At 45.3% G+C, this 22748-nt stretch overlaps 1 protein-coding gene across 5 annotated transcripts in view; it reads left to right on the top strand.

Moving 5' to 3' along the window:
• Positions 1 to 22748, top strand: part of COL6A3 (collagen type VI alpha 3 chain) — a 90147-nt gene that overhangs the window by 20653 nt on the left and 46746 nt on the right. For 2 of the 5 annotated variants that reach the window (NM_057167.4, NM_004369.4), the window contains 6 exons: positions 5328 to 5930; positions 12013 to 12597; positions 14277 to 14876; positions 16168 to 16740; positions 18492 to 19100; positions 21175 to 21780. In NM_057167.4, the coding sequence (NP_476508.2) occupies positions 5328 to 5930; positions 12013 to 12597; positions 14277 to 14876; positions 16168 to 16740; positions 18492 to 19100; positions 21175 to 21780 (3576 nt within the window). Of the gene's footprint in view, positions 1 to 5327; positions 5931 to 12012; positions 12598 to 14276; positions 14877 to 16167; positions 16741 to 18491; positions 19101 to 21174; positions 21896 to 22748 lie in introns of those variants that run through there. The other 3 variants (NM_057165.5, NM_057164.5, NM_057166.5) reach the window with 3 other exon arrangements.

The following is a 22748-nucleotide window of genomic DNA, read 5'->3' as shown; positions in this document are numbered from 1 at the left end:
TGGAGGGAAGGCATGAGAAAAGGGGCTGTGTTTCCAAGATATTCAGGTGGATAAGAGGCACATTGAGAGAGTTCAAGTTGAGTTGACATCCATCATCTCAATAAAGGAGGGAAGCAGTGGGGCTTGGGGGCTTGGAGGGATTGAAGTTATTTTTGATCAGCTGCTATAGGGATGTGAAGAGGGGTCACAAAACATTCAGGAAGCAACTGCTGATTTGAAGTGGCATCCAGTTGCTATCAGAGATTACAAGTCAGTGGGTGTCTCCATTAGTGTGGATCCCTGCCTTTCTGCAGATATCTCAGGCACTCCCAGGATCAAAGGAGTTCCCAGAACTGGAACTTGCAAAGAGGGAACAATAGAGAGGACAGAAGAAAATTTTCTCAGTAAGGAAATCCAGAGTGGTAGCTAGTAAATTCCTGAAACAGCCTGCCATGGTGTCCTAGCTGCATGGGGAGCTAATGAGAGCTGGAATGGGCCAGGAGACCTCTGAAGAGCCAGAGGATGAGAGGCCAGGTCTCGGAAGGAGAGTCCTGGAGACAGCTGAGTGTGCAAGTTGGAGACGCTGCTGGTGTGTAGACAGGGAGACCTCTGAGGGCCAATCGCGGGGCTGGAGGAGTTTCCAATGGTGCTCAGTGTGGTCCTCAGATGTGTAGGAACTATAGAGAGCCAGCCACTGCAGAAACCAGAGAGGGTGGTGCTCACAAAGGTTGTCCATACAGACCTTAAAGTCTGGAGATGACCACAGAGTCTGCAGTGTGAACGCAGGCTGAACATAATGTAACTAAATCATGTAGGAATGTTGGAGACTCTCTTCTGTGTATTTAGTAGGCATGAGGAAGTGGATAATTCTTTGAATCAAAAAAGAATGAGTGGGCAACCACATGGCATAGGGGAACTGATCATAGGAAGCAAGATTTATGAACAGATTTTTCTCCTACACTTTTAAAAATGGTTACCACCAAGATGGCCACTGGGACAGGAGGTAGGAGGTGAGGTGACTGATGGAGAGTCAGTCTCTTGTGAATACACATGGATGGTGGGGCAGGAAAAAGAGAGTTGAGGCTTGGAGGCACACATCACTCTACAGGACCACATCGGAGGGACAGCAGAAGAATTGCAAGATTGCAATCAGAATGCTGGAGCAGTTGCAGAGAAGCAGTACCAGATGTCAGTTTTTCATAACAAGGATTCAGAAAGCAGGAGCTGAAGAGAGATGACCCAACATCAGCAGAAAGGAACTAGCTGTCTTGAGCAGGCAGAACTTGATGAAGAAGAGGGTTTCAGAACTAGCCAGCTCCAGGGTGTTTCAGAAGTTTGTTCATAAAATGGTTTTCCCAGTGGTTACTCCTGATTTCAGCTTTAACGGGGCTGGCAGTGCTGATGCCCTTACCTGTGGGTCTGCTTCTCCATAGGAAAGAGTGAGAGGCAGTTCAAACACTGCAAAGTGTTCCCTGCTTCCAAATGACAGGCCTCACCCCTGGCATTACCACACAGGCATCAGTCCTGCCAAATGACAGGAAAAGCTGGGTGTCTCCAAGAGCACCCCAAACCAAACACTCAGGTTACCAGGAAATGACAAGAGGGTATCTACAATGAACTGCACTCCTCGCTACGATAGTCTCAGTATCATTAATTCCCTGATCCATCACATTTCGGAATATCGGGATAATAACAAAGACCTACCAAAAAATAGTGAAAGGGGCTCACGCCTATAATCCCAGCACTTTGGGAGGCTGAGACGGGAGGATCATCTGAGGTCAGGAGTTTGAGACCAGCCTGGTCAACATGGTGAAACCCCGTCTCTACCAAAAATACAAAAATTAGCCAGGTGTGGTGGTGGGCGTCTGTAATCCCGGGAGGCTGAGGCAGGAGAATCGCTTGAATCCAGGAGGTGGAGGTTGCAGTGAGCCAAATTTGTGACACTGCACTCCAGTCTGGGTGACAAGAGTGAAACTCTGTCTAAAACAAACAAACAAACAAACAAACAAACAAACAAACAAACAAACAGTGAAAGGGACCAGTAGAGAAATGGAACATCTTTTATTGACGTTTTGTTATACTCACAAAAATAGCTGAGTTTGCCTTTATGTTTAACCATTATGTAATGGACAAACAATGAGATTACCATAGTGAATGCTAAATGAAACTACCAACATCGTGTGTTTCCACACAGATGATAAAACCTTTGTTTTTATGCCAAGAAAGCATCTCTGTCTTCTAGTGTCCAAGCCACTAGCAGCACCAGGGCAGAAAATTAATCCATTCATGTGTCTTTTCTAATTAACATCACTCTGCAGTTCCTCCTAGTACCACGTCCCGCTGCATGTTCCACGGCAAAAACATAGGATAATAATCTTAGGAAGAACAGTACATCTCTGCTTATAGTTTTTTGGAAAGCCAGTTAGAAGAGCATTATAGAGATTGCTAATTAGTTAGGGCTGCCTCTTCTTACTACCTGTCTGCTGGGTAACTTCCCCATAGAGTGTTCTTGATTATAAAACACACATATGTGTAAAATATGAACGATCACCACTGTTGTCAATGAACTCTACTCAAATAATCAATCTCTAATGGTTGTGTTTTTAAAAATCCCTCTGTCATTCTTTAAAAAAATGAATATACCTGAGATATAAAACCTTTATTTTAAAACAAAAGCTAAAGGTGACAGGGAGGATTTTGGCATCAGCTTTCTTTTCTCTGTAAAGGATGAAGATTTTTAAAATTTGTAAAATATATATACAATTTTGTGTTTTACATAGGAAACAAGAATGGGAACTTGTTTTTCTTAATGAAAGGAGGCATCACATGAGCTAAGAAAGGCATTGTGCCCACACCAGTGAGCTCGGGAAAAGAGCTTCCAGGGATGTCAAAGGAAACTGTGAATTTTCCTTGGACACTGTAAAACTTTTCTGTAGAAAACACCACAGAGGATGTGATACATAAAGCATAGAAGCAGAAAACCAGACAATTTTAAAGCTTTTAAATTGTGCATAGATCTGATTCCTTGTAACATTAACATTGGTCATTGGTCCGCCTTGCTGTACACAAGCACACATGGCCCCTGTGTGCCCTTGAGGCTTCAGCTCTCTTGAATAACAAAGCATGCCCTTGTATGTCCCATTATTGTGTGTGTAAGAGGATAATGTTGTTATTCAGTGATGACAAATTATCCAACGTGTTTCTATGACTGGCCACTGTAGATGTTCAGTCTTTTACAAGAGAATGTTCAAGGATTTTCCCTCAGGGTCCATTTATCTTATTTGCATGACTATAAATTTCAACCCAAAAGTAAGTTACAAATGGAGAAGAAATAGTGTTATCCTGCGACTTAGGGATCATTTTTAAAAGCTTGACTGTATTGATCATATTTAATCCTTCTTTTAAACGTCTTGATATGCTGAGGAAGTGGCAAATCCTTCCGTGTCCTTTGAGGTCATTGGTTTAGGCCTGGGAAATGTTGAGGAATTTTGTGGAATTTGTGGAGCCTCTGTATTATGCAATGATGTAGGCCATTTCTATGGCCTTCTGTGTAATTCACACCCCCTGGCACCACACTCTCTTGAAGATCCTTCAGGAATCTTATATTTTGGCTGAACAGTGGCAAATGCTTTGGGCCCTAATCAAGGGCCTAGTCTTATATAAAACTTTTGTGTGGCAATTACTAAAAACACAAGATCTTAATTACTGTAGCACAACAATTATCCTACTCATTGTATCTTATAAGAAGGATTGTGATAGCAATGTTGCCAGGTTAATATATTTCCCTATGCAAAGAATTAATCTGCAAATATATTGTTAGGAACTTTCTTGTATATTAGGAAGGGAAGAGGGCAGTTCCGAACCTGGCAATCTCTGTTTCAGTTCACACAATGAGAAGAGCTTGGGTAAGAATGTAATTTCACTAGAGCAGAACTCTTCAATTTTGTGAGACAAGCTTTGGATCCTTTTCTACAGTGAGAACAAAAACAATTTTGTTGGCACAAGGAAACATTAATTTTAAATATAAAATGTTCACTGTCATTGAAAAGATCAGAGATCAGAGTGAATGGTCTTACCTATAATATTACCATCATTTAAAAATGATACCCTGAGTGTAGTTTTCTGGAATCCCAGAATATAAATAGATAAGCTCAAGCTCACATATAATCTCTTCTTGTCCCTAACACATACTCAAGTTATCAAAAACATCGACTAGAATAATTGTGCTCCTCCTTGAGTTTAAATCAGCCAAATTTAAACATTCGAACTGATGCTGTGAAATCTCTGGCCCTGACTTTTAGATTTCTCGATCCCTATTCCTCCCTCAGGGCTGCTATATAACCCCGTTCTCAGCATCAGGTTGGGAATTCTCTGTTTGCCATTATGGGGGAGAGAAGAGGTCTTGGTCAGCTGTTTTTCTGCCCTTTGTATAACCCCAGGCTAATTCTAATCAGGGTTTATTCGATGCTCATGGTCCTTCTAGGTAACTAGTTTAGGATGTCATAAAAACAAGGTTGGATAATTATGTCATGACCGGTTTCATATCACTCTGCTTAACATTGTTCTGCATTAAGTGACTGAATATAGAGGCAATGACAAAATAAATGAACAAAACATCCTGCCCAATCCCAGACCTGCATTTGAGTTTTATGCAACTAAACATCATTTGAGAAAAAAGAACAACAAAAATTTCATCAAAGTATTTTTTACATGAAAACTTTAAATGTAGTTTGAGTTCTGATTCACGAAGTTGCATGTACAAGGTCATTTTGGTTTTTAAAGAAAAGAGAAGAAACAATAGTTTCTGAAGGCATCCAGCAACATACTGGGTTGAGGAATCACCAAATCGTGACTCTGTTTTGTAGCTGTGGATTTGTATAAAAAATTATTCTAATCATTTGAGGAGGCAGGAGAAATGACCAAAAATTAGAAATCATCTCTAAAGTTTTGGTAACCTACTCATTGATTTTCCCTGGTAGGTTTGGTAGTGGACAATTCATGCTACTACTTTTCCCTCCAAATTTAGTGGAAATTTCTAGAATATGTACCCAAGATTGTCCCCTCAGAAAAGTGAATATGATGTTTGGAAATTTAACTATGAGGATGGCACAAATGAAAAATTGCTATAAATGTCCCTTTTTTACACCATGATTTCTAAGAGGTTGCCTCTTATCCATTCAGAATGCAGAACTGAAAGAGAATTTCACATTCCTTCATCAACATGTGTTTTGTTTGCCCATATTTCGTGTTTCTTATTGGTTTCCAAAGAAACATGTCAGAACACTGAATAATGCATGTGGTCACTTGTTCTAATGCTTTCACATTTTTTGCATTTCTTTCTTTTAAAGCACAAGACTCTGCTGACATTATTTTCCTTATTGATGGATCAAACAACACCGGAAGTGTCAATTTCGCAGTCATTCTCGACTTCCTTGTAAATCTCCTTGAGAAACTCCCAATTGGAACTCAGCAGATCCGAGTGGGGGTGGTCCAGTTTAGCGATGAGCCCAGAACCATGTTCTCCTTGGACACCTACTCCACCAAGGCCCAGGTTCTGGGTGCAGTGAAAGCCCTCGGGTTTGCTGGTGGGGAGTTGGCCAATATCGGCCTCGCCCTTGATTTCGTGGTGGAGAACCACTTCACCCGGGCAGGGGGCAGCCGCGTGGAGGAAGGGGTTCCCCAGGTGCTGGTCCTCATAAGTGCCGGGCCTTCTAGTGACGAGATTCGCTACGGGGTGGTAGCACTGAAGCAGGCTAGCGTGTTCTCATTCGGCCTTGGAGCCCAGGCCGCCTCCAGGGCAGAGCTTCAGCACATAGCTACCGATGACAACTTGGTGTTTACTGTCCCGGAATTCCGTAGCTTTGGGGACCTCCAGGAGAAATTACTGCCGTACATTGTTGGCGTGGCCCAAAGGCACATTGTCTTGAAACCGCCAACCATTGTCACACAAGGTATGTATCCTCTTCTCACCATCTGTGTGGGAGTGGGGTGTTGTGTGTGTTGGTTTACATAGACGTAAGGTGGGTACCAGCATGATTCGCCACGGGAGAAGCTGTAAGTACCCACAGTCCAGTCCTTCCCTGATGAGCTGGGTCCTGGATGTCATGTTTGTGATGTCATGTGTGCGGAAAAACTAAAGACCAATGAGTGAGTGAAAGCTCTTACGAGAGTATGAGTTGCTGAGAAAGCGTGCTTTTAAGGCTAATTCAACAAACCTGTTGCTTTGAGATTATTAAACATCACCGTATTAACTACTTATAATCCAGTCTTCCTAAAAATGGGCTTGAGGGGCTCATTACAGTTCTGAGAAAGTTACTCCAGGACTATGGCATTGAGCTCTAAAAGTCAGTGTTAGAAGTGTGCTCATAGACAGAGTATCTTTCCAAAAGCAAAGATGGAGTGAGGGTGTCTCCTCAAAGTCATTTTGTGCTAGGGTGCTGAGAGTTATACTTCTGAAGGTAAGAAATAACAGTGTAATCACTTGATGAAATATTTATGAAGTTTTTTTTTTCTTGTGCTTGTGAAGTGTAGGAGTAATTCTCCTGAGTGGCAATATTAGGATACAAGCTCAAATGGAGGGCCTTTGGCAAAACAGCCAATTGGAGTGGTTTAAAAAACAAAAAAACCAACCAAGTCACATAACAAATATGCACTTAACAAACATAGGAGGTATGGTGGGGGCATCAGGATGCATAGCCTCCTCTACCTTTTGAACTGTTTTCTGAGACATCAGTCACTTTTCAGACCTATCAATTTCATTACCTAGGTCAGGCCAATAGGATGCCATTTGGTAAATCAGGGACACAGTGGCCCCCAACAGTTTCCAGAAACACCCAACTCACTTCCAGTGTTGCTTACACACTGGGATGCTCTAATGAGATTAGTCCTTGACTATAAGACCTTATTCTTCATTTTCCTTCCAGAGTATGGGCTCAATGAAAATTGGTGAATGGATACCGAGGCTCCTATAAGACTCTGATTATCATCTGCAACCAATCATCTAAATTTTCTTGGGTGAAATAACACATTGTTACAACTCTTATTTGCTAACTTTATAAATAAAGTCTGGGTCTACAAGATAAATATTGTAATAAGATACTGCTTTACCCATTGTATCAATTACAATTGATCAAGGGAGGTTTTCCTTTGATAAAGGAGTGAAAATAATTTAAAAATAACCATTTTGGAGAATATGCCATTGTATGAAATTAAGAGTAGAAGATTTTAAAGTCTTAATTAAAAACATCACTATCTATTTATTTAAGGAGCTGACCTCTACTTAATAGTGCCTTGCTAATCATTAGTTCTAGTTGCTGCATTCATGTAAAGGCAACACACCACATTTCCTTACAAGGGTTACAAAATTCACACTGAGTTAGATTGAACTTGCCTCAAATGATTTTAAACCACAGCTTTTGTTGTAATAAAAATTACAGGTAGAAAGCTCAGGCTATGGCATCTCTACTTAATCTGTGCATTGGAACTGTGACCAGGTGATGTAGCAAGAAAAGTATATGTGAGTGTTGCCTTCTGGAGAAGGCTGTGTCTGGCATTTATTTAAGTTTGAAAGGTCAATTCTGTGTGGCTTAGCTTTTGCTGCATACAGTTTTCCAGCTTTTCCTCTCACTTGATGGGACCATAAAATTGGCCCAAATCCTCCAGATGAGCTAATAGAGAGACTAGAATTTTGAAAATAATGTTCTGAATGCAAATGGACATTGAGAAGCAATGGAAACAGTGTACAGGACTACATGCCCGGTGCCTGGAGCTGCTCATGCTCATTCCATCATGGTGCCGTTTTGTGACTCTGGCAATTAAGAAAACAATCAAGTGAAAATTTATGACCTGCTGAGGTTTCTCTGAGCTTGCATACTATTGGTGTGCATCCCAAAGTATAGAAGCCCAGAGATTTCCCTATGTTTTGCAGACACCGACGATGCAACATGGCTGTAGATGGGAAAGCTGGTCTCTGGTCTTGGGTCTTCTGTGGACCTGCCATGTGATCCTGGGCAGGTCATGCAACCTCTCTGGGTTTCGATTTCTTGAATTTATGACAAAGGAGTTGCACCAGATGAAGATATGTCTGTACCAGGAGAAGTTTCAACTTTTTAATGAAAATGGGCAGCACATGACCCTTGTTTCAGATTTTCCCTAGCCAAGTAGAGTTTCAACCCCTTGATTACAAACATCATGTTTAATATCAATGATTAACTTGTAAATATTCAACAAATATCCTTGACTATCTGGCATGTGCCAGACACTATGCCAAGCACTAGAGATATGGTGCTGTTTAATGAGACAGATGTGGCTGCTCGTCTGTTACAGGATAATGGGGAAAGAGACAATAATAATATAAACTAGTGACCAGGCAAAATATTCTGAGCATGATAAGTTGCATTGGGGCATTCAACAGGGCTGTGATAGGAAGACTGGGGAAGGGAATTTTAGATCAGGTGGATGGAAGGCCCTGAGAAGGTGTGGAACCGAAGGCAGATGAGCATGCGGAGAGCAGGGGGAAGAGTGGTCCAGGCAGAAGGAAGAGCAGGAGGGGTGGCCCTGCAACAAGAAGGCACTTAGTCCCTTCCCAGAACTGTCAGAAGGCAGTGTAGCTGGAGCACACTGGACAGGGAGCCTGAGGTTCAGACTCCCTGGATGCATGGAAGCTGGAGAAGCAGCTGCTGTAGGGGGATGAGAAGCCACAGGGAGTGGAGCCTGTGGGTTGGGAGCCAATGGCAGAGGAAGGTAGGCTGTGGGTTAGTGGTGGGGGCAGGGGCTCTCCTCTGAGGGCTTCTATTTTCTCAGAGACAGATGAGGAGGCCTTGGAGGCAGTGGCAGAGGGCTGAGCAGAGAGCACAGCCATGAGACAGTCATTCTGGAGGACAGGACAGCCAACTTCCCAAGGAGGCATGGGAGGATGGTGGGCAGGCACAGGTCTCCTGATGGGGGTCTGGAGTTCCGAGCGTGGCATGCAGGTACCTTGTTGTGTGGTCTTCTCCAGGAATGTCCACTGCTTGGGTGATGCATGAGGAAGACTGTGGGCCTGATGGAGGCTTTCAGGAGAGTCTGATGGAGGTGCAGGGATGAGGCATGGAGGAAAACAGAGAGAGGCGTGGGAGGAGGGCTGAAGAGGGTTGTGCCATGTTGGTGAGGAGTAGCAGGACCTTCAAGTTCATCTCCCAACAAGGCAGTGAAGTCAGGCCCTGCAGAGCCACATTAAAGAGATAAGACAGCTGTGTTTGGGTTGATATTTATGTCAAGTGGAAGGAAATGCGTATGCATCCCTGACGTGGCTCACAGAAGAGTCAGCTGTGAGAATCCCAAGGTTTTTATCACTGGGTCAGAGGAGATTCATGGTGCAGCCCCCAGAGAAATGAAATGATTCTGCAAAGCCTAGGTGAATTGCGTCAGAGTCATGAAGCAAACATAGGAATTCAGTTATTCTTCCAGTTACTCAATATTTTTCAGTGTTTACTATATTTGGCTAAGCATGGTTCTAGGCATATCATCTGTCATGAGCTCCCATGACTTGAATAAAAATCAAACGTAAATGACCTCTTACCTAATCAAAGGGGACTCTGGGACAGAGCCTCTGGGAACCAGAGGTGCATTTCAGGGTTCCCAGAGCTGAATCCTTGTTGGGTGCAAGGAGACTAGGCCACTTGTTTCATTAGATCTAGAAGGTATTCCTTCCCGCTGGCTCATCGGGAGAACTTTTAGTGATGCAGTGGTAGGGGGAGGGAAAACGTGGGAGGGTAGGGGATGATATTTATCTTCTCCCACCCCAAGAGTTGTGCCATTGCTGGTACTTATAAAGAAGAATATAACAATCTGGGCCACTTGGTATAGGAGCAAGTAGCTTCTCAGGTCATTGTTATATGAGTATTTGTCTATTTTTCTGTCATGTGTGATATACATAGTAAATACATGAGTGGTAGATTCATGGTATAGCATATATGGAATTTATATGTGTCTATATACGTGTATGTGTGTATCTATATACATATATATTCTCTCTAATGGTACAAAGGTATAAGTCTTCTAGAGATCTACACATTAGTTTTATCTGCAAAGATATTTTAAATCAAAATGAAGGGGTAGCCCAGAGAGACAGCATGTTCTAAATTAAATGAAGGAAGGAAAGCCCAGAATGGATGTTCATAACAATGACCATGAAATATTGAGAAAAGGTTCAATGATGTTCTGCACACATTGTTACACCAGTAGGCAACTGTGTTATTGTATTAAGGACGTTGGTGCATAACATGTTACCCTTCTCTTAGAACATAGACCTTGTCTTGATGCTACAGGTGAGCACCCAGATGAGGCACTGCTGTCTTCATTTGGCATGTATCAGCGATTCTCACCCCAGGCATCACGCTCCCAGCTTCTGGTCCAAACAACTAGAAATGAACTGCATTTCAAAAATGTGTTCTAGGCTGGATGTGGTGGCTCACCCTTGTAATCCCAGCACTGTGGGAGGCTGAGGCAGGTGGATCACTCAAGGTCAGGAGTTTGAGACCAGCCTGACCAGCATGGTGAAACCCCATCTCTACCAAACAAAACAAAACAAAACAAAAATTAGCCGGGCGTGGTCGTGCATACCTGTAATCCCAACTACTCAGGAGGCTGAGGTGGGAGAATCGCTTGAACCCAGGAAGCGGAGGTTGCAGTGAGCTGAGATCATGCCACTGCACTCCAGCCTGGGTGATAGAGTGAGATTCTGTCCTAAAATAAAAATAAAAATAAAAATATGTTCTAGAAGGTAGCTCTGATTCTTAGAAAGTTCTTCCTTACCTTCATCCCAAACTTTGTTTCCTTTGTCTGCTTTTACAAAATCAACTTGCCATGCAATCTATCTGATGGAATACAGTAACAGAGGACTCTTTTGCAAAACAGTCCATCTCAGGTTTAATCATTTATGTTCCTCTACTTCTTGGAATCTCTGTCAGGTTTTTGGGTTAGGTGTTGTGGTCTTAACAGAGTTCATGGTTCTTGCAATATGGGCAGGGTGCCTGCACATGGATACAGCAGTTCACAGTCACTGTGAGACAGTTATCTTATTGAGATGTTTTTGCTTTATGGTTTGCCTTTAAGTTATCACTGTCATATTACTTAGGATCTTTAAAAACAGGTTTTTTGTTTTTTTTTTGGAGATGAAATCTCACTCTATCACCCAGGCTGGAGTGCAGTGGTGCAATCCCGGCTTACTGGAACCTCCTCCTTCCAGGTTCAAGTGATTCTCATGCCTCATCCTCCTGAGTAGCTGGGATTACAGGTGTCTGCCCCCACGCTCGGCTAATTTTTGTATTTTTAGTAGTGATGGGGTTTCCCCTTGTTGGCCAGGCTGGTCTTGAGCTCCTGAACTCAGATGATCCACCTGCCTCAGCCTCCCAAAGTGCTGGGATTACAGGCGTGAGCCACTGTGCCTGGCCAAAACGCAGGTCTCTTAAGTGAAAAATGTTTGCGGCACTTGCTGGCTTTGATGCTGATTTCCTTTTTATACGTTTTATGTTAAGTAATTCTTTCGTCTGTCAAATGAAGACAGGGAATATAGAACTGAAGAGAACAGGGATGTGCAGGCTCTTTCAGCTTTTGCACTTGACAATGAGCATTTTGAAATGAAGACTGTGAGGCAAAGGGTTCTCTGAGCAGACATCAGTGGTTTCTTTAATTATTCAAGCAATGACTTCACTCTGGCCAAGTTGTGTATTTACGGCAGAAGAGAACTTATTGAATTTTCAGTGACAGCATACAAAACAGGTGGCTACTAAAACTAAATTTGTTTTTGTGCAACTATTTTGTAAAAAGTACTGACTGGGCAGGGTGGAAGGTGAGCCAGCTTTCCTCCAGCAGGTGGGGAGGCAACCATAACTTATGTGTTCATTAGGACAAATTCCCTTTGGGGTGGCCCTGTGGTCACGTTGGCCACAGTAAATGAGGGTGTCCTTTAAATGGAGTTAGCTTTGTTGAAAGTCATTGTTGATTGTGCTTGGTAAGGCCATTCTAATTGCCTTATAATGTTGCCACCTACAGTCATTGAAGTCAACAAGAGAGACATAGTCTTCCTGGTGGATGGCTCATCTGCACTGGGACTGGCCAACTTCAATGCCATCCGAGACTTCATTGCTAAAGTCATCCAGAGGCTGGAAATCGGACAGGATCTTATCCAGGTGGCAGTGGCCCAGTATGCAGACACTGTGAGGCCTGAATTTTATTTCAATACCCATCCAACAAAAAGGGAAGTCATAACCGCTGTGCGGAAAATGAAGCCCCTGGACGGCTCGGCCCTGTACACGGGCTCTGCTCTAGACTTTGTTCGTAACAACCTATTCACGAGTTCAGCCGGCTACCGGGCTGCCGAGGGGATTCCTAAGCTTTTGGTGCTGATCACAGGTGGTAAGTCCCTAGATGAAATCAGCCAGCCTGCCCAGGAGCTGAAGAGAAGCAGCATAATGGCCTTTGCCATTGGGAACAAGGGTGCCGATCAGGCTGAGCTGGAAGAGATCGCTTTCGACTCCTCCCTGGTGTTCATCCCAGCTGAGTTCCGAGCCGCCCCATTGCAAGGCATGCTGCCTGGCTTGCTGGCACCTCTCAGGACCCTCTCTGGAACCCCTGAAGGTATGGTGGTGATGGCTTCAGACACACAATGGGGTGGTCTCCAGGCAGGGCCTTTAAGAACAAAACAAAATGAAGTGTGTTTGTGTTTAGCTAAGAGACAACAAATGATGAAAACAGCAGCAACGAACATGATTTATTCCAGGTTTCCTTTTGCACTGGGTTCAGGATTGTATGGTTTACAATGTCATGCAATGAAATTTCATATAAGAACCATATGATTTAAACCACAGGACCATGGGCCACCACCTGTCTTTGAAGCTTCTGGCCGAGGAGGTCACATCTCAGTTCTTATCGCTTGTCAGATCCCTGTGTTCTTCTGTTTCTACTGGTGATTTCTGTCCAGTCTCCTCCTCATCACCAGGATGTAGCTTTCCTTTCCTGAGTTGTCCATCTACTTCTAAACAGCCCCAGTCTGAGCTGTTTAGGGCACAGTGTCCTCAGCTTTTAATCCCTCTCTTCTCTCTCGTTAAGGGATTACCCTCAATGGGAAAGCATATTGAATGGCTAAGTGTGGAGTTCAAACCTAGTGGTTCTTCAAATCCCTCATTTAATATGATTGCCAGTGGAGAGTTATTTTTAAAGACATTATACAGATCTATGAGCTAATGAGTTGAAGAAATACAATTCACTGCCCTTAATGAAGAGAAGATGAGCATCACAGAATGATGCTTTCCCACCTTGCAGACTCGATCACTAGAGGATTGCCTGATGCAGGCATGACCCATGCTGCCTGGATGCATGCTTTCTCTTCACACTCCCTGGTCTTCTATATCCATCTCTTTCTCTCTCTTTTAAAATTTTTCTTAAAACTTTTAATCCACACTTTCATAGCCAAAGTTCAACTTAGGATACAATTAGTTGTGAGGTCTAAATTACAGTAGGGCATCAGGGAAGAAATAAAAAATAAAATTTTAAAGGCACATGGTAAATGTGTTGGGTCAAATACACTATTTTGAGAATTATACTTTTTATTCTTGATGTGTATAAGTTTGGCCAAGCCTAGCAACTAGTCTCCTTCTATTTTGCTGTGTATTTACGGTCCCATCATCTCACTTTGGGGGAATTCCCCTGTTGGATGATTGCCTAGCAAGACTGTGACTTCCTAATAGGAGAAGAGTCCCAGTGGAGAATGACAAACGGGGAAGTCTGAAGAAGACTTCAATATGAGACCAGCCTACTTTTGCTATTTTTTTTAGCCTTAAGGAACTCGTTTTCTCAGGTTAGTGAGGGCTAACTGCTTCTGAGCTATGGATGGAAGACCCTCTGTTTGTGGGTAGAGGTGAGCCCCAGAGGATCCAGCCAGGCAAACTTAAACCTGGCTGGGATGAGTGATATGGACTGATGCAGCACCTTCATAGTATTCATTTTTAGGGAAGGAGTGTTTGGTTTCAAGGATTCTGATCACTTTTGTTGTCTGTAAACATTCTAACTTTGATGTTGTAGCTCTCTTTGAGCCAACTTGGTTTTGTAAACTCGGCTACCAATATGTCTCACAAACACCAGCCACCACCAGAGGAAAATATGCAGCCATCTGCCATATTTTACAAGATGGACATGCTTTGCCATGCTGACTTTCTCTGTGTTCTAAATGTTGGCATGTGTGCACGTGTTGTAGGCACACATGATAAAACTCTCCGTGGTTGTGTATGTCTCACTTTTTTTTCTGTGCTTCACTGCAGTTCACTCAAACAAAAGGGATATCATCTTTCTTTTGGATGGATCAGCCAACGTTGGAAAAACCAATTTCCCTTATGTGCGCGACTTTGTAATGAACCTAGTTAACAGCCTTGATATTGGAAATGACAATATTCGTGTTGGTTTAGTGCAATTTAGTGACACTCCTGTAACGGAGTTCTCTTTAAACACATACCAGACCAAGTCAGATATCCTTGGTCATCTGAGGCAGCTGCAGCTCCAGGGAGGTTCGGGCCTGAACACAGGCTCAGCCCTAAGCTATGTCTATGCCAACCACTTCACGGAAGCTGGCGGCAGCAGGATCCGTGAACACGTGCCGCAGCTCCTGCTTCTGCTCACAGCTGGGCAGTCTGAGGACTCCTATTTGCAAGCTGCCAACGCCTTGACACGCGCGGGCATCCTGACTTTTTGTGTGGGAGCTAGCCAGGCGAATAAGGCAGAGCTTGAGCAGATTGCTTTTAACCCAAGCCTGGTGTATCTCATGGATGATTTCAGCTCCCTGCCAGCTTTGCCTCAGCAGCTGATTCAGCCCCTAACCACATATGTTAGTGGAGGTGTGGAGGAAGTACCACTCGCTCAGCCAGGTAAACCTCCCCTGTTGCCGGGAACTCCCTCTCCTTCCTCAGACACCACCCTGGAGGGTAGTTTGCCAGTCTGAACTCAAGAGCACTGTGGACTGTACAAAGACAATTGGCTCCCTTCCATTGAAATAGTTTGAATGGGGACTTGAGACACTGTACCAGCAAGGCTGGACTCTGTCTAAAGGGTGTTCACGAAGGAAAGTCTAGAACATCCAGCTTATGTTCTGTCCATTTTGCCTCACCCTTTATTCAGAAGGATTTTTTTTCCTCTAATGACTGTGAGGATTCTGGAGTTCGAATCCAGATTTGGGGATCATGGGGTGGAGGGAGACAGAGAGAGATTTTTCTTACATGAATATGCCTTGGGATTATTTAAACGTTGAAATTGTATTTTTACATGATTTTTAAATGTTCAACATCTGCTGTATCTAGAAAATTATTTGTTATAAAACAAACAAAGGGTGCATCTTCATGCAATGGTAAAATGGTTTCTAGGGGAAGGCTAACTTATTATTATTATTGCAAATTATTATGGTGGTAAGATATGGTTGTATCAGATCTACCAGTCTGCTAACATCACACAGATGAATGGCAAGACTAAACCAATTGAAACCTAATCAAAATAGTTCTAAGAACTGTTTTAACTGAGAATGTTATTTACATTACACATTGCGGTGCCATAGGGCCTGTCATCTGTGTTTCCTATTGTCTCATTACAACAGATTGGGAAGCATTGACAAGGAGCCTGACCCACACAGCAGTAATGGGCACTATTGTGGGTCTTGGCCCGTAACCTCAAATTTAATGATTTGATCATTCAATTACAGCAGATTCATGGCAACCCAGTTATCTTTGAGTGGTTGACCCATATCAGCCCCCCCTTTTTTTTTCTAGAGATTGAGATCAATTTTTTTAAGCAAAGGTATATTAAGGGCCATGTTTTCAATACTTTTATTTGTAACAGTTTGAAACTGCTGTCTGTTTTCCTGGAGCGATTGCCACCTGATGTAAGAACACAACCCAGTGGGGCTTTTCCCTGGCTTGCTTTATTGAAGAAGCATGATGCTAGATGGGATAGGCTGTTCTAGTTACTAGCTTTGCAAATATGCACTGATTTGAAATAGGACATTTTCAAGACAAGTGGTATGAATTTGGGTTTTCTCTTCTCTTGCTGGCACAGTGGTCATCAGATGAGTTTCACCAACTCCTGTTGTCAAATGGTGCTGGGCTGAAGTCGCTTTGGTTCCTGTTATGCTCTCGTCCCTCATTGTATCCTAATCTACCTTCATTGCAGAGAGCAAGCGAGACATTCTGTTCCTCTTTGACGGCTCAGCCAATCTTGTGGGCCAGTTCCCTGTTGTCCGTGACTTTCTCTACAAGATTATCGATGAGCTCAATGTGAAGCCAGAGGGGACCCGAATTGCGGTGGCTCAGTACAGCGATGATGTCAAGGTGGAGTCCCGTTTTGATGAGCACCAGAGTAAGCCTGAGATCCTGAATCTTGTGAAGAGAATGAAGATCAAGACGGGCAAAGCCCTCAACCTGGGCTACGCGCTGGACTATGCACAGAGGTACATTTTTGTGAAGTCTGCTGGCAGCCGGATCGAGGATGGAGTGCTTCAGTTCCTGGTGCTGCTGGTCGCAGGAAGGTCATCTGACCGTGTGGATGGGCCAGCAAGTAACCTGAAGCAGAGTGGGGTTGTGCCTTTCATCTTCCAAGCCAAGAACGCAGACCCTGCTGAGTTAGAGCAGATCGTGCTGTCTCCAGCGTTTATCCTGGCTGCAGAGTCGCTTCCCAAGATTGGAGATCTTCATCCACAGATAGTGAATCTCTTAAAATCAGTGCACAACGGAGCACCAGCACCAGGTATGGTAGAGAAATGCTAGTTGCTCTGCCACTCAGTTCTCTAATGCATGAGTTGAGGGTAGGCTGCTGGCCACTGGTCCTTAGATAGAAGCCCTCCTTGAGTTTACAGGAAAGGTGGAAAATTAATCACCTGCTGGTTTCAGCAGGAACAATAGAATATGAGATGTCCCTCCTTACTTTGATTCTCTAGCTGCTCTCTCAGGAGAATGAGGGTGAGTATTTTTAAGGGCATTAGATTATTTCATAGTAAGACATGTTATAAAGATTTAGATATCAGTGGTTAAAATCCTTTTTTAAAAACAGTTTTTATGGTATGCATAATAAAAGCCATATCATATGGTTACATTGTACCTAAAACAGCCTTCATCTTCATATTCACCCAATGCCTTTATATTGTTATAATTCCTTCATTACATTCATTAAAAATTAAAGGAGTAGAAGAGGTAGATAACTTTCCACCATAAACTCTGCATTAAAATCCCCCAACTGCTAATTGACACTGCCATGACTTTTCATTTAACCCCTTTAATTTAGTGATAAAAATGCAGTGAAGAGAGTAATTTCCCCTGTATGCCTTTTGATGAAAAATGAAGACTCCAGAGCCTCTCCTTTGATTACTGGGCCCATTGGCCGTTGGCTTGGGATGGTAACTCCGACATCTGGGTTCCGTTTCCTCCCATTAACCCACTTGTGACTTGCAGCAACTCAATTGAAACCTCCCATCGATAAAATGCTAGTGGTTGTGCAGGTGCTGCCATCTCATGTCTCTCCTCCCATCCCAAGTTTTTTCTTGAATACATCTTTGAAAGCTAACAATACTCTTCAAGCATTGAAAAGTTCCAAAATAAAAGGGGTCCCTATATTGGTGTATTAGTTTCCCATTGCTGTTATAACAAAGTAACACAAATTTAGTGGCCAAAAACAAAACAGGCCGGGTGCGGTGGCTCACACCTGTAATCCCAGCACTCTGGGAGGCCAAGGCGGGCCCATTGCCTGAGGTCAGGAGTTGGAGACCAGCCTGACCAACATGGTGAAACCCTGTCTCTACCAAAAATACAAAAATTAGCTGGGTGTGGTGGCGGGTGCCTGTAATCCCAGCTACTCTGGAGGCTGAGGCAGAAGAATCACTTGAACCCGGGAGGCGGAGGTTGCAGTGAGCTGAGATTGCGCCACTGCACTCTAGCCTGGGCGACAAGAGCGAAATTCTGTCCACCCCCCGACCCCTCCACTGCAAAACAAAAACAAAAACAAAAACAAAAATCCTTATTATCTGACAGTTTTGAAGGCTGGAAATTGGAAACCAGTGTTGCTAAGCTAAAATCAAGGTGTCAACAGGCTGTGTTCTTTCTGCAGGTTCTAAGGGATTCTTCATCTGCTCACCTTTTCCAGCCTCCAGGGGCTGCCTGCATTCCTTGCCTCCTGGCCCCATCCTCCATCCTCATTGCCAGCAGCTTGGCACTTTCTCTCCTCTCTGACTTCTGTTTCCATCCTTACATCTTCTCTCTAACTCTGACCCTCTTACCCCCTCTTATAAGGACACTTGTGATTGATTACATTGGGCCCACCTGGCTAATTCCAGGGTAATCCCCCCATCCCCAAATCCTTACCTGAATCACATCTGCAAAGTCCTTTTCTCAAGTTCGGGGATTTGGACTTGGACATCCCTGTGATGCTCTTATGCAGCCCACCTCGTTGATATGAAATTGCTGCTCTGATGTCCTGTGTGAGTTACCAGGCTGTCCTCCTCCCAGTTTCAGGTGAAAAGGACGTGGTGTTTCTGCTTGATGGCTCTGAGGGCGTCAGGAGCGGCTTCCCTCTGTTGAAAGAGTTTGTCCAGAGAGTGGTGGAAAGCCTGGATGTGGGCCAGGACCGGGTCCGCGTGGCCGTGGTGCAGTACAGCGACCGGACCAGGCCCGAGTTCTACCTGAATTCATACATGAACAAGCAGGACGTCGTCAACGCTGTCCGCCAGCTGACCCTGCTGGGAGGGCCGACCCCCAACACCGGGGCCGCCCTGGAGTTTGTCCTGAGGAACATCCTGGTCAGCTCTGCGGGAAGCAGGATAACAGAAGGTGTGCCCCAGCTGCTGATCGTCCTCACGGCCGACAGGTCTGGGGATGATGTGCGGAACCCCTCCGTGGTCGTGAAGAGGGGTGGGGCTGTGCCCATTGGCATTGGCATCGGGAACGCTGACATCACAGAGATGCAGACCATCTCCTTCATCCCGGACTTTGCCGTGGCCATTCCCACCTTTCGCCAGCTGGGGACCGTCCAACAGGTCATCTCTGAGAGGGTGACCCAGCTCACCCGCGAGGAGCTGAGCAGGCTGCAGCCGGTGTTGCAGCCTCTACCGAGCCCAGGTACGCAGGGAACTCTTTGCATCCTCACTCAGTGTCATTGTCTGGGGCTACTTGTCTGGACTGTGGGCCACAAGGTGTTCTCAATTTTGCTTTTCCTGCCATGTGAAGTGAAAACTAAAATTACAGGAAAATTTAGGAACCCACATGCCCTTTTTGGCCTCGATGGGCAGAAATGGCAGAGGTTCAAGGGGGGAGATGCTAAGATTCATGTTTTGGGGCAAATTAAATTCTCCAAAAGGGACATATGTGCAGCTTGGAATTCAGGACTCCTTAACTTTGCATGAAAGCTTCTGTCTAGATATCCAAAGGGAGGGGCCGTCTAACTGATAACGCCTGTTGCGTATCAGTCCTGCGACCCCTGGTAGGTTTGGTCAGCAGCCTTCTGTGAGGCAGGAAGGAGTCTGACCAGGGACACTCTGCAAGCTGGGACATAGACTCTGAAATATTGGTATCTCCAGAGCCAAGGTGTGAAGATAATTTTGACTTTGCTTGGTGCTGAGAAGTGTCTTAACTGGCAGGAAGGCCACCTGGCTCTTATGACCATAGTTTATTCTATTTTCTTTTTCCTGTTCCCTCTTTCTAGGCCTGGTACAATAAACTAAAAAATGGTGGGAGCCCTGGTGCTGAGAAGGAAGGAGGAAAGATATATCTACCTCTCAATAAATGTCCTCCAAGGGCCACTCTCCCGGGTCACTCGGGTGGGGGGGGTTCACAGTGGCGAAGGAGGCAGATGCGGCCTTGCTCCCTCATATGCACTCACTTGCCTGCTCTTCCAAGAGGAGAGAAAAGAAGGAAAGTTGGGGAGGAGCGGAGGAAGGAGTAAAAGCAAGTGAAAGGAAATCACTGCAGGATACAGTGGGTGATGAGGGAGGTGAGGATGATTATTTGGGTGCAACTGAGAGGGGCTTGGTTTCTCCTCGCTGGTGCCTGGGGAAGAGAGCAGTGTGGCCCACCAGGTTTCTGTGGGATGTTCCTGAGCATTTATGATCAGGTAAATTTGGGCAACAGTGGGATAAACAAAGTGAAAGAGGCTTTCTTTCTTCCTAACTAAGGCGCTTTGTGTGTCTCCAACACAAGAAAGGAAATGCAACATTTCCAAAATGTATCTGCCTGCAGGAGGCCTCTGTGATGCTGTGTCTTGGCCCCAGATTGCCGAGGATGGACTTTGGGAATATTGTCACAGTGCGGGTGCAGCTTCTGTTGTCAGGAACGTACATTTCCACAACGCTGTGGCTCTTTGCCCACTCACTCTCCTGCGCTCCAGAACAGCCTCCCTCTTTCCCCCTTCTCCCCATTCGGAGGCTTCTCTCACACCTCTCCTGACCCACCTGACTCTCAGCTGGTAATCTTGAGTCCTATTTCTCCAAGAAAATGCAAGTAAACCCAAAGAGAGCTGTCCCCGGCCACGTCATCCCGTGGTTCCTTGGGTGGCCTGTCTCCGCTTCCTCAGCTCCCTTTCCTCTCACCTGCTCAGTGGCACCATCTGCAGTTCCCTTTCTTGCTCTTGTGTCACCCTTTCTCCACTGTGCTGGATGGTTCCATCCATGATAAAATGCATTGCTTCTTCTCTCTTAAACACCCTCTCTGATGCGCCACTTCCCCTGCCAGCAGCACCTGTCTCCTAAAGACTTATCTATACTCTAAAGTTCCTTTCCTCCCATCCTCTCTGAGCCCACCCTACTTTGTCATTCACCCTTGCTCCTCCCCCAAGTGCTCCAGTTGAGGTCACTCCATCTGACAAGGTCCCTGTCTCTGGCGAAGCCCAGTGGCTGACCCTCGGGTCCCTGAGCAGCACCTGATGCAGTGCAGGTCACGTCCTTCCCAAGTACCATCCTCGCTGGTGCTGATGAGGCTCTTCTGATTCTGCCTCCGTCGGGTTTTTCATCCTTTGCTCCCCTTCTCTTTGATGTGTAAACACTGAAATGCCCAGGACTCCCACTTCTTGGACTTTTAACAGTGGTGATTGGTGTTAGGATCCCCTGCCTGTGAATCCATGACAAACTGGGCGGTGGCTCATGAACGCTAAGAATTTGGTGACGATGAAGGTGAAGCCATGCTCACATTTGTTTCGCAGGTGTTGGTGGCAAGAGGGACGTGGTCTTTCTCATCGATGGGTCCCAAAGTGCCGGGCCTGAGTTCCAGTACGTTCGCACCCTCATAGAGAGGCTGGTTGACTACCTGGACGTGGGCTTTGACACCACCCGGGTGGCTGTCATCCAGTTCAGCGATGACCCCAAGGTGGAGTTCCTGCTGAACGCCCATTCCAGCAAGGATGAAGTGCAGAACGCGGTGCAGCGGCTGAGGCCCAAGGGAGGGCGGCAGATCAACGTGGGCAATGCCCTGGAGTACGTGTCCAGGAACATCTTCAAGAGGCCCCTGGGGAGCCGCATTGAAGAGGGCGTCCCGCAGTTCCTGGTCCTCATCTCGTCTGGAAAGTCTGACGATGAGGTGGACGACCCGGCGGTGGAGCTCAAGCAGTTTGGCGTGGCCCCTTTCACGATCGCCAGGAACGCAGACCAGGAGGAGCTGGTGAAGATCTCGCTGAGCCCCGAATATGTGTTCTCGGTGAGCACCTTCCGGGAGCTGCCCAGCCTGGAGCAGAAACTGCTGACGCCCATCACGACCCTGACCTCAGAGCAGATCCAGAAGCTCTTAGCCAGCACTCGCTATCCACCTCCAGGTGAGATGGGGGCGTCGGAGGTTCTCCTTGGAGCATTTTCCATATGAAAAATAACAGGCTCAAAGGCCATGGTACTCATAATAAATTAAATTAAAATAAAGGTTGTATGCCCTTACCTTTATGGTTTTTATTTTGAGACAGGGTCTGGCTCTGTCGTCCAGGCTGGAGTGCAGTGGCATGATCATAACTCATTTTAACCTCTGCCTTCTGGGATCCAGCCAACCTCCCACTTCAGCCTCCTCAGTAGCTAGGACTACAGGTTCATACCACCACGCCCGGCTAATTTTTTGTATTTTTTGTGGAGACGGGGTTTCACCATGTTGGCCAGGCTGGTCTCAAGCCCCTGAGCTCAAGTGATCCACCTGCTGCGGCCTCCCAAAGTGCTGGGATTACAGGCCTGAGACACCGCGCCCAGCACCTTTATGTTCTTCATGCCCACCAGCCAGACCCCACCAGGACACACCTGCGACTGAACAAGTTGGGTCTATTGCTCATGGCATCCAGGGAGAATGCATACCGTGGCAAAGCATGAGGGCATCTCCATAGGAGGGTGGCCGGAAGGACTGGGGGGACTTGAGCTAGTGGCAGGTCATTTTGTGGAAGGCTTAAAGAAATGGAACTGTGGCCTGGATTGGATGTTGTCAAGACGTGGAGGTGATTCTGTAGCTGTATCTTAAGTCTTACCTAGAAGCAGGATGGCCTTGGTATAGATTGGTAGAGAAGAGCAGTCACTCTTATTAACCAGGACAGGGAGTGTTTTTGTCCTTTTTGTGGTTTGCACCATGTTTTTCTTTTTGTCTGTGTTCAGATAGGGTTACAATGTGGTCTCATTTTCATCTTGCCCCATTGTGATCACAGAGTAGCCTTGTCTGTTGTGGGGGTCCTGTGAGATCATGTGTGCTCAACAGGAGAACCCCAAGGCCATGTGTGCTGGACCAGCTCCCCAATGCGGGGGCTGATTCTCTCTT

Source organism: Homo sapiens, chromosome 2, assembly GCF_000001405.40.
Source record: "Homo sapiens chromosome 2, GRCh38.p14 Primary Assembly".
Taxonomy (NCBI): Eukaryota; Metazoa; Chordata; class Mammalia; order Primates; family Hominidae; genus Homo; species Homo sapiens.
The sequence above is the reverse complement of the archived record's forward strand: the minus strand, read 5'-3'. Positions and strand labels throughout refer to the sequence as shown.